The sequence below is a fragment of the Homo sapiens genome, chromosome 16 (genome assembly GCF_000001405.40).
Source record: "Homo sapiens chromosome 16, GRCh38.p14 Primary Assembly".
NCBI lineage: Eukaryota > Metazoa > Chordata > Mammalia > Primates > Hominidae > Homo > Homo sapiens.
The window spans coordinates 46,539,592-46,552,714 of NC_000016.10; the positions used below are offsets into that span (position 1 = coordinate 46,539,592).

Below are 13,123 nucleotides of genomic sequence, written 5' to 3' on the forward strand. Positions count from 1 at the left end.
AAAACTCCATTGTCTCAGCCCAAAATCTCCTTAAGCTGATAAGCAACTTCAACAAAGTCTCAGGATACAAAATCAATGTACAAAAATCACAAGCATTCTTATACACCAATAACAGACAAACAGAGAGCCAAATCATGAGTGAACTCCCATTCACAATTGCTTCAAAGAGAATCAAATACCTAGGAATCCAACTTACAAGGGACGTGAAGGACCTCTTCAAGGAGAACTACAAACCACTGCTCAATGAAATAAAAGAGGATACAAACAAATGGAAGAACATTCCATGCTCATGGGTAGGAAGAATCAATATCGTGAAAATGGCCATACTGCCCAAGATAATTTATAGATTCAATGCCATCCCCATCAAGCTACCAATGACTTTCTTCACAGAATTGGAAAAAACTACTTTAAAGTTCATATGGAACCAAAAAAGAGCCCGCATCGCCAAGTCAATCCTAAGCCAAAAGAACAAAGCTGGAGGCATCACACTACCTGACTTCAAACTATACTACAAGGCTACAGTAACCAAAACAGCATGGTACTGGTACCAAAACAGAGATATAGATCAATGGAACAGAACAGAGCCCTCAGAAATAATGCTGCATATCTACAACTATCTCATCTTTGACAAACCTGAGAAAAACAAGCAATGGGGAAAGGATTCCCTATTTAATAAATGGTGCTGGGAAAACTGGCTAGCCATATGTAGAAAGCTGAAACTGGATCCCTTCCTTACACCTTATAAAAAATTAATTCAAGATGGATTAAAGACTTAAATGTTAGACCTAAAACCATAAAAACCCTAGAAGAAAACCTAGGCATTACCATTCAGGACATAGGCATGGGCAAGGACTTCATGTCTAAAACACCAAAAGCAATGGCAACAAAAGCCAAAATTGACAAATGGGATCTCATTAAACTAAAGAGCTTCTGCACGGCAAAAGAAACTACCATCTGAGTGAACAGGCAACCTACAAAATGGGAGAAAATTTTTGCAACCTACTCAACTGACAAAGGGCTAATATCCAGAATCTACAATGAACTCAAACAAATTTACAAGAAAAAAACAAACAACCCCATCAAAAAGTGGGCGAAGGACATGAACAGACACTTCTCAAAAGAAGACATTTATGCAGCCAAAAAACACATGAAAAAATGCTCACCATCACCGGCCATTGGAGAATGCAAATCAAAATCACAATGAGATACCATCTCACACCAGTTAGAATGGCAATCATTAAAAAGTCAGGAAACAACAGATGCTGGAGAGGATGTGGAGAAATAGGAACACTTTTACACTGTTGGTGGGAGTGTAAACTAGTTCAACTGTTGTGGAAGTCAGTGTGGTGATTCCTCAGGGATCTAGAACTAGAAATACCATTTGATCCAGCCATCCCATTACTGCGTATATACCCAAAGGACTATAAATCATGCTGCTATAAAGACACATGCACACGTATGTTTATTGCGGCACTATTCACCATAGCAAAGACTTGGAACCAACCCAAATGTCCAACAATGATAGACTGGATTAAGAAAATGTGGCACATATACACCATGGAATACTATGCAGCCATAAAAAAATGATGAGTTCATGTCCTTTGTAGGGACATGGATGAAATTGGAAATCATCATTCTCAGTAAACTATCACAAGAACAAAAAACCAAACACCGCATATTCTCACTCATAGGTGGGAATTGAACAATGAGAACACATGGACACAGGAAGGGGAACATCACACTCTGGGGACTGTTGTGGGGTGGGGGGGAGGGGGAGAGATAGCATTAGGAGATATACCTAATGCTAAATGACGAGTTAATGGGTGCAGCACACCAGCATGGCACATGTATACATATGTAACTAACCTGCACATTGTGCACATGTACCCTAAAACTTAAAGTATAATAATAATAAAATAAAATAAAATAAAATAAAATAAAATAAACTACAAAACATATCTCTCCATTTATTTAGGTTTTTCTTTAAATTTTGTCAAAATTGTTTTGTAGTTTTCTGTTTAAAAATTATAAACTTGTTTCACTAGTTACTCCTAAATATTTACTTTTTTGTACCATTGCAAATCATATCTTTATTTTCATTTTATAATTGTTTGTGGCAAAATACAGAAATACAATTTTTGAACATAGGATTATAATTTTAAATTGATGATGTATCAAGCAGCTCTGATAAATTTGCTCATTAACTGAAATACAATAATATAATAACCAGTGTATAGATTCTTATTTTTTCTACCTATTAATTATATCGTCAATGAGTAATGGAAATTCTATTTCTTCCCTTTTAATCCTTATCTTTCTTATTCTGTTTTGCCTGTGGTACTGGCTAGGACTTCCAGTACACTGTTGAACAGAAGTGATGATAGTAGACATTCTTGTCTCATTCCTAATCTCTGTGAGCAAGAATTTAAAATTTTCCTTTAAACATGATTGTTGTAGGTTTCTGTGAGTACCCCTTAACATGAAAGGGTGTTGAATTTGATCAAATATGTTTTCTACATCTATTAAGATGATTTTTCTTCCTCCTTTATTTTGTAATATGAAGAATTACATTTTTATTTTTGTTAATTAATACCAATATTGCACTCCTAAAAATAATTCAACTTGTGTTATATCTTTCCTTTTTATATATCACTAGATTTCATTTGATCGTATTTTATTAAAGCTTTTCCCATTTGTGGTCATGATGGGGACTGAATTATAATTTGGTGCCCATGTAAGGTTTTTATATGAAGATTACATAGGCCTCATAAAATGAGGTTGGAAATGTTCTTCCTGCTTCTAAACTCTCAAAGAGTTTATGTAAGAGTCATACTATATCCTTCTTAAATTTTAAAATAACTTACCAACGAAGCCATCTGAACCTGGAGTTACTCTTCAGATTTTCTAATTATTCTTCAGCTACTTTTGGTAAGTTGAGTTTTTCAAGGAATTCATTCTTTTCATTAAAATTTTCAAATGCATTGGTATAAAAGTATAAGATCCTCTTAGCATCTTTTTTATGTCTGTGTACTCTGTAGTGATGTCCCTTTTTTCATTCCTGATATTGGTAACATTTCTTATATGTAGATCTCCTAGTAGTGAACTTTCTGTTTTTTTCTTAAAATATTATTTCATTTTTAAAAGACATTTTAATATAGAATACAATGTTCACAGCCTTTTAAAAAAGTTTAGTATTCAATGTTATTCCATTGTCTCTGGCATTCATCAGAGATGGACCACAGCATTCTGAAAGACAGGTGCATTTCACCAGCACTGCAACCCCTGAACAGTAATAACCAATAAATTATTGACTCATGAACTAAGCTAGGCTCCTCCAATGATAATTTTGTAAACATTTTTTGTAAAGAAAGCTACAAATATTTATTATTATTATTATTATCATCATCATTATTATTTAGAGATGGGATCTCGCTCTGTCACACAGGCTGGAGTGCAGCAGCGTGATCACAGCTCACTGTGGCCTTGAACTCCTGGGCTCAAGCGATCCTCCTGTCTTCCTGAGTAGCTGGGACTACAGTCATGTGCCATCACACCTGGCTTATTTTTAAATTTTTTGTAGGGACAGGGTCTTGCCATGTTGCCCAGGCTGGTCTCAAATTCCTGGCCTCAAACGATCCTCCCCCCATGGCCTCCCAAAGTGCTTATAGGCATAAGCCACCACACCCAGCCATCAATATTTTTTTGCTCCTTAGAAAATAATGTATAACTTTTCACTGGTGGCTTTTAGGATTTTCTCTTTGTAGTTGGTTTTCAGCCATTTTACTCTCATGTTCTTAAATGTGGTTTTCTTTGTGTCTATCCTATGGCCCCACAAATCCTGACAGGCTTGGTTACTGCCCATTGCCCTTAAACAGTTGTGGTGATTGCTTATGTTGCTTAGTTTTTACTAGATTTTATAGTTATTCTATAAAATACAAGTTACTTCATCATATACAGATAGAACCAGGTGAACCAGCTTTACGGGTAATTCTAGTTACCCTGCTCTGGTTAAAAATTACTGTTTAGGTTATTAATTTAAACAAAGCTATAGCAATCAAAAGTATGTGATATTGATATAAGGATAGAATAAATATAAAAGGAATAGAATTGAGAGTCCAGAAATAAACCCATACATCTATGATCAATTGATTTTCTCTAAGGGTACCAAAATCATTCAGTGGAGAAAGAACAATGTTTTCAACAACTGATGCTAGGACAACTGAATATCTGGACCAAAAAAGATAAAAATGGACTGTCATCTCACACCACATACAAAAATTAACTCTAATTTATTAAGGATTCAAATAAAAGAGCTAAAACCGAAGAAAACTTTGGTGTAAACCTTCAGGAGTTTGGATTATCTTTATGATATCAAAAGAAGCAACAAAATAAAATATAAATTGAACTTTACCAAATTCAAAATCATTTATGCTTCAAAGGACATCAGGAAAGAAAAAAGACAACTAACAAAATGTGAAAAAATATTTGCAATTATCTACCTGATAAAGGTCTAATATCCAGAATATATGAATAACTCTTACAACTCAACAATAAAAAGCCTGATTTTAAAATGGGCAAAGGATTTGAATATACATGTCTCCAGAAAATCATTGAGGAGAAAGTATGTATCCCAAAACAAGTTTTTAATGCAGACAAAAGTGCCCTATTCTGGAAAATAATGCCAAAAAGGACATTTATTAGTGGGGAAGAGAAGCAAGCACCAGGATTTAAGAAGGGTAAGCTAGCTCTAATGTTTTGTGCAAATGCAGTTAGGTTTAAAATCACGACTGCCCTTATCCATAAAACTGCTAACCCTCAAGCCTTGAAGGGAAAAGATAAACTCCTGCTGGCATCTTTTGATTGTATAACAAGAAGGTTTGGAAAACCAGAATTCTTTTTCTAGATTGGTTCCATCAATGCTTTGTCCCTGAAGCAAGGAAGAGACTGCCTTTTAAAGTTCTTTTGATATTGGACAATGCCTCTGGCCACCCAAACTCTATGAATTCAACACCAAAGGCATTGAAGTGGTCTACTTGGCTCCAAATATGATATCAGCCTCTACATTAGGGGGTCATAAGAACCTTGAAAGGCTCATTACACATGGTACTCTATGGAAAGAATTGTCAACACTGTGGAAGAAAACGCTGACAGAGAGAACATGAAAGGCTTCAGTAGGATGCCACATCAAGCCCCAAACAATAAACTCCTGCTGGAGAAAGCTGTGTCCAGATGTCGTGCATGACTGCACAGGATTTATAACAGAGCTAAACAAGGAGATCATGAAAGAGATTGTGGAAATGGCAAGAAAAAAAATGGTGAAGGGTGAAAGGTTTCAAGATATGACTATTGGGAGAAATTCAAGAGTTAATATACACCACACCAGAGGAATTAACTGAAGATGACTTGATAGGGATGAATGCTTCCAAACCAGTGCCAGATGATAAGGAAGAAGACGTAGAAGAAGCAATGCAAGGAAACAAATTGACATTAGACAATCTGGTAGAAGAGTTCCAATTATTCATGACTGCTTTGACTTATTTTATGACATGGACCCTTCTATGATATGGACACTGAAACTAAAGCAAACAGTGAAAGATTGGTATCATAGAGAAATATTCTTAGAGAAATGAAAAGCCAATAACGTCAGACAAGAAATTATGATGTATTTCCGTAAAGTTAAACCAAGTGTCCTTGCCTCTTCTGCCTCCTCTTCCACCGCCTCCACCTCCTCCATCTCTCCCACTCCTGAGATAGCAAAACCAACTCCTCTTCCTACTCTACTTGAAGATGATGAGAATGAGGATGATGATCCACTTACACTTAATGAAGTCAACATATTCTATCTTCCTTATGATTTTATTAACAATATTTTCTTTTCTCTAGCTGTGTTATTGTAAGAAACAGTATTATATAAATATGCCATAAAAAAATAAAAATAAAAATAAAAATGCGGAAGGCTATGCACATCAGGGGGTCGTGGGGTATATGAGAGATCTCTGTACCTTACTCTCAATTTGCTGTGAATCTAAAACTATGTTAAATAATACAGTTATTAATTTAAAAAAAGATATTTCCTGAACTTGCTATTATCCTATATTATAAAAAGATATAGTCAGCTTGAAAATTGCAAATAAAGATCAAAGTAATATAATATGAATATTATCTCCCAAATTGAAATATACAAAAACACATAAAGCAAATAATTTTAATCGCATACTTGGGTAAAAAAATGGATAAAAATGATTGAATATTTTATCTTATTTCATAATTACAAGCAGGGATTTAACACAACATGAATCAAAACTGGTCCATCCATATAATTAGGATAAATGATAATTTTTACTTTAATTTTGAATCAAAAATTATTATGCTTATTTTATCCAACAATTTTACTGAAAGTTTAATGAGATAAGGACAGATCATAATGACCTAATATTGCCATAGTAACTTTTGTACAAATATCTGCCAACTCTTCACCAAATGTCAAAACTGTAAGCAGCATTGCAACTTAATATGAATAATGCAACTGAAACCAGTACCATGTTATGTTATATCATATTATTTGCTGTTAAAATAAAATTTTAAGACAACACCAAAAATTATGCCAGGGCCATAGCTACCACACAGCAAAGATTTTATACAGTAGGCATGAGATGAGACCACCATCCTTAGAAAGGCCTTATTACAAGAATGGCCCTGGGCTGGTGTTGGGACCTTGGATTTGGGAGGGCTCTCACCATTCCCTTACTGAGAAGAGTGGCTCGCTGTGCCTAAACTGTTTGTGCAAATGTAGCTTACTCTGAACAGCTGATTTTCTTCTGGGAGTCTAGAATTTTGGTATATGTGAGGGAGAGGATGCCTATGTGACTAGCCTCCATCAAAAACATGCATACTGGGACTTCAGTGAGAATCTGCTACTGGTAGACAACTTGTGTTGTCAGAATCTGAGGCTGGGGGAATTAAGCACATTCTGGTAACTGCACAGGAGAAGATTCCTAGAGCTTTGTGTTTGCTTCCCTCCAGACTTCACCACGTGCACCTTTTCCCTTTGCAAATTTTTCTCTGTACCATTTTATTGTATTAAATGTAATAAATCAAAGCCCTGAGTATGAATATTTGCTAAGAGCTGTGAGTCCTTCTCAGTTAATCACCAAACCTGAGGTGGTCTTGGGAGTCTCTGAAACAACTGCATCATAGAAAATTTTTATTATTTGATGTGTTATATGTAACTACAATCAGAAGGTTGCTTTGCAGAGCATCTGTCCCTAATGTTTTTTTTATTTTATTTTTTCATATTTGCCTTTCAGATTCCTATATTTCTATAAACATTTGATGAAAGGTATCAACAAATACATAAAACAATGATGGAAGAAAGTAATGTGAAACAAGCAACAATCCTATTTTGACCAGAATAAATTTAGAAACCTTGATGATTCACAATATGTTCTACAATACAAAAGTTTCTAGAAAAAGTGTTTAAAAGATCATCGTAATTTTCTCTAACTCAGCAGGGCTTCATTCATTTTTATAATGATCATGCATCTGGTTGGGTGCAGTGGCACATGCCTGTAGTCCTAGCTGCTCCTTTGGCTGAGGCAGAAGGACTGCTTGAGGCCAGGAATTCAAGCCACAGTCATTCTTGTCAATAGCTACTGCATGCCAGCCTGGGTAACATAGTGAGACCCCATCTCTTTAAAAAAACTAAATAAATAAATAAAAGATTGTGTATCATTCAGGTAACTGTGATAATTGTAGAATAACATATAGCCATCAGATATACTATAATACTGTACTACTGATCATAGAGTTATGTTTTGTTTTCAATCTTTTTCTTAATTTTTTATAAAACAAAAAAAAATTTTACCTATTAAAGTCAGTTCTTAATAGAACAAGTCAAAATGCCCAAGAAATGCATCCAAAGTACAGTATGAGTTTTTCATTGTTCCTGCCAAATAGTGAATTTGATTATTAAGGATCAACAGGACTTTTAACTTATTGAAGGGGGAAGAAAGTTATCTTGTATATAGATGACTAAAATGGTGATAGTCTGATTGCCCACATAATCTAATTAAATCACAGTTACTAATTTCCGAAGAAATGTAATTCCAGAAAAGCATTTTACATTTAAACTGTGTGAAATAAAACAATTTGTATTTGACAATCCAGGACGCACTTAAAATCTCGGCAGACCATCATCAGTCACCCTGTCAGATATAAAGAAGTTTATTTAGCATTAGAAAGTAACAGAATACCATATATACTTTAGGATAGGTAGCCAATTCTTTTAAAATCAAATAATAGACATTGGTCGAATATACATATGTTAGAAATGTGTTCTAATAGTACTTTTTTGTTTAGGGATGAAATTCAAAGGGAAGCAGTGAAAGCAGAGATATCACAAGAGGGAAGATGAAAACGAAATTACACTAATAAATAGAGTCAGGTACTGACTTCCCTACTGATGTCCCCAGAATTCCAAAAATGCTGAGAACTACTATGTACGCATATCACCTCATATTTTTCTGTGATATTACATTAGTGTTCTGCAATAAAATATTTAAAAGAAATCATTTAAAAGAAATCCAAACTGCTGATTTGCAAACTATTTCTGATCAAAACTTAAAATTCTGTCAAAGCATGGCTGTATTTTGATTCCATGTCAGAGGAAGGATATGAGTATCTGATAATGGCTTCCAGCTGTTGCTGTCAGGTTTTTGTTTGGCAACACATCCAGAAGAGCTTATCAAGGGTTTGAGTAAAAAACAAGCATTTCCCCAAAAACCAGATAAGAAAGATTACACTTTTCCTCATGAGGACCCTTAGGTTCTGACAATTCTGGGAAAATGTTGGCACAGGAACTCACCAGTCTAGGCCTGACTCTGTGTAGGTAGCTGCTGCAGTTACAAAAGAATTAGGTAGGATCGTGGTAGGTGTCTTCCATACTTGAACACCGGAAGTGCCATGTACCTAAATAGTAGACCTTACAACTCTAAAAGTGTTCTTTTGAAGAGGGCACCACCAAAGAGCTTTTAAAATATTAATTTAACTTACTTTTTAGTAATCTTACTTGTTAGAATTTATATTCCCCCTCCTTGAAATTCTCACATTTAAAATATTTTTGCAACACCTCATCCTCTGATAACCTCTCCTACTTTTCTCTAGCCACTGCTCAGCCTTCTTTACTAACTTCTTTTCCTCTGGGAAATGTTGATATTCTCAGGATCTTGCCACTGGCCTTCTGTTTATTCCACGTCTTTCCTATCATGGACAAGCTCATTCAGATCTATGACCTTGCCTACGTTATTCCAAGTCTGCAGCTCCAACCTCAGTTCTACCTCCAGCTAGAAATGCCTAAAATCCAATTACCTACTGAAAATATCCTACGTGAATATTCCATTTAACTCAACATGCACAGAAAGAGGTTAGTCATTCCTGCTGATCTGCTGCTCTTCTCCATTCACCTGCAAATCTCCTACTCCTTCCTCATGTCCAGGTTAAATGCTAGTTCATGACCTGGAAACCGGTAAATCATCTGAGATTTCTCTCTGTGCCCTAAATTTGTATATCCAATAATCACTAACTCATATTATCTCTGTCTCTTCTCTGTCTCTGCTTTATATTTCCACTACCACTGGTTCTTAACTACTGGCTTTTATAGGCTACCAACAATTAATATTATTTCTTAAATAAAAAAACAAGCAAAACAAATGAAAAAGGCAAAAACCAAGAGAAAGATCAACATTTTAAAATTACTAAGTAGCTTTCTAACATCATTTATTTCACCACGGATGGGTGAAACCCTCATAATGGACTGATGCTAGTCCAAGGATTGGTGACAAGGAAGCTATAGCTTTGGCTACTGCAAAAGCTTCCTTTGTCTTACAGTCTCTTTATGTGGTACTTTCCATCTATCCTCCATATGAGGAATCATCCAACTGCAGGCCGCAGGTCCAACCCAGCCTGCCTAATGGTTTTGTAAATAGTTTTATGGGAGCTCAGTCCTGCCTTTTGCTTACATATTATCTATGACTGCTTTCACACTACCATGGCAGGGTTGAGTAGATATGGCAGAGACCACGTGGCCTGAAATATTTCCCACCTGGTTCTTTACATTAAAAGCTTCTTAATACCATAATCAGAATGTCCTAATACTCAAATCTAATCTTGTGACTTTTCTGCTCACAATTCTATAATGAATTCCTACAGAAAACATTGCTGCCTCCCTACCGGATGACCATTCCTTATCTTTCTTGCTGGAGAACCACAAGTCTATTTGAATATTTATCATCCTAATACTCCCTCCCCATCCCCAACAAAAGAAATAACTATTCTAATTTAATCATGGTCATTACATTTGTTTTCCCAGTGCCTGGTTTAGGAATGAGCATTTGGTGTAACAAAGCCAATAAAATGTGAAAGGAAGCCCACTGCAAGCTTCTGAGTTTTCTCCCTATTTCAAAGAAACATGAGAAGAAAAGCAGCCCTTCCAGCCTTCAGAAATTGTGTTGTGAGAACATGATATTTGGAGCTCTTGCTAATTAGCCAGCCATGAAAGGAGACATGTACAAAACAGCACAGCTGAAACAGGGACACCAAGTGGGACCCAGTGTTATCACTGAACCACCCACCAAAGCAACTCTGCTTCCTATTGTTTTAGTCACTGTTAGTTAGGTCCTTTAGTATTTGCAGCCCAAAGCACTCTACCTGGTAAATTTCCCATAGCCTGCAGGATAAGATCTACTCAGTTTAATACTATAAAGTATTAAAAAGTCTATCATGAGCTTGCCTTACCTAGGTTTTTCCCTATTCCCAACCACTCCCATCTCAGTTTCTGCAACAGCAAAATAGAACTGCTCATAAACCCTGCAAAGTTCACTCAAGCATCTTACCTTTTGCACCTGCTGCTCCTTCTCCCAAGCACGCCATCTTGTTAGATGTTCCTTCTGCCAAACATGAAAACTTGTCAGATGTTCCTTCTGCCCACATCATCCTTCTGCCTCTTTACCTAGAAAAGTTCTACCCCTTCTGCATGCTTACCTGAAATCCTACCCACTTTTTAACAGCTTTCATTCCTCACCACATTCTTCAAGTGTCTGGCACATATTTAACATAATAAGTGATCATTATACACTTCCAGACGGCATCCAGCACATAGTAGTAGGCACTGAATGAAGTAGCAAATAATATAAATGAAAATGATCATAACAAACTCCTGACTGTTTTGTTTTTGTTTTGTTTTTTGAGATGGTCTTGCTCCATTGCCCAGGCTGGAATGCAGCCTCCCAAGTAGCTGGGACTACAGGTGCATGCCACCACGCCCAGCTAACTTTTTCATTTTTTTATTTTTATTTTTAGTAGAGTTGTGGTCTCACTGTGTTACCCAAGCTGGCCTCAAATTCCTAGGCTCAAGCAATTATTTTGCCTCAGCCTTCCAAAGTGCTGGGATTATAGGTATGAGTGACCGTGCCCAGCCCTGACTGTATTTTTTTTTTTTTTTTTGAGACAGAGTCTCTCTGTTGCCCAGGCTGGAATGCAGTGGGGCGATCTCGGCTCACTGCAACCTCCATCTCCTGGGTTCAAGCAATTCTCCTGCCTCAACCTCCCAAGTAGCTGGGATTACAGGCGTGTACCACCACACCTGGCTAATTTTTGTATTTTTAGTAGAGACAGGGTTTCACCATGTTGGTCAGGCTGGTCTCCAACTCCTGACCTCAGGTGATCCGCCAGCCTCAGCCTCCCAAAGTGCTGGGATTACAGGCCTGAGCCACCACACCCAGCCCCTGACTGTATTTTTAAATGTTTGTATTCTGTAACATGAAAACAAAAGAAGCTTACTCCCTAAAACACTCTTGATAGTTTATTCATTAAATGGACAAGTGTATAAATGAATAAAAATATTTTATTTGAAAATTATTGGCCAGGTGCGGTGGCTCACACCTGTAATCCCAGCCCTTTGGGAGACCGAGGCGGGTGAATCACCTGAGGTCAGGAGTTCGAGACGTCTGGCCAACATGGTGAAACCCAATCTCTACTAGAAATACAAAAAAAATTAGCCGGGCATGGTGGTGGGTGCCTATAATCCCAGCTACTCAGGAGGCTGAGGCAGGGAGAATTGCTTGAATCCAGAAGGCAGAGGTTGCAGTGAACCAAGATGGCATCTAGCCTGGGTGACAGCGCAAGACTCCGTCTCAAAAAAAAAAAAAAAAGAATCTTGAAAAAACACACAGATATGAAATAAGGACAGCTGTAGTCTATTATGAGCACCTTAAAGACCAAGACTACGTGTTTCTCACCTGTAGCTTGCAAAATCTAACTTGTAAAAGTTCTTCGATTAGACCGGGCGCGGTGGCTCACACCTGTAATCTCAGCACTTTGGGAGGCCGAGGTGGGCGGATCACGAGGTCAGGAGATCGAGACCATTCTGGCCAACACAGTGAAACCCCATCTCTACTAAAAATACAAAAAAATTAGCCGGGCGTCGTGGCAGGCGCCTGTAGTCCCAGCTACTCGGGAGGCAGAGGCAGGAGAATGGCGTGAACGCCGGAGGCACAGCTTGCAGTGAGCTGAGATCGCGCCACTGCACTCCAGCCTGGGCAACAGAGCGAGACTCCGTCTCAAAAAAAAAAAAAAAAAAAAAGTTCTTCGATTAATATGTACTAAACTAAAAGTGTCCTCATACAGTTCAGACTGTACAATGTATTTGGTGTCACATCTAGGTAGCATAGTAGCATTTTTGTTATTGCGAAGCACTTTTATACTTTTATTATAATTTGTTGAGCCTAGAGTTGAACTATTTCTGGTATTCGTTACAATAACCTTTTGGCTACTGGTAAAAGTGTTTTGTTCTAACAAAATTACTGTTATCATGACAATTAACTAGTGAAGAGAAGAACTTATCTTGTTCTAATGAAGTAAATGTATCTCATTCAATTTCAAATTAGGAAGAATGAAGTCAATAAGTGAGACCTTGTTGGTATAAGAATATGTAACATGACCTGTGCTTTTCAACAAGAAAATGCTTTTCTGACTTCTACACTTGGTATCTTCAAAAAAAATAATTTTCTATTAGTATTAGTGCACACTGGATAAGTTTTACAGTTCTTATTGACATTTGTTTATGGTA

The 13,123-nt window shown here is 36.8% G+C and overlaps 1 pseudogene across 1 annotated transcript in view; it reads right to left on the minus strand.

Moving 5' to 3' along the window:
* The window catches only part of ANKRD26P1 (ankyrin repeat domain 26 pseudogene 1), a 99,761-nt pseudogene that overhangs the window by 70,255 nt on the left and 16,383 nt on the right, over nucleotides 1-13,123 (minus strand). Inside the window, exon 6 of the transcript NR_026556.1 lies at nucleotides 10,890-10,943. The product of NR_026556.1 is annotated as an ankyrin repeat domain 26 pseudogene 1 (transcript). The remainder of the gene's footprint in view (nucleotides 1-10,889; nucleotides 10,944-13,123) is intronic.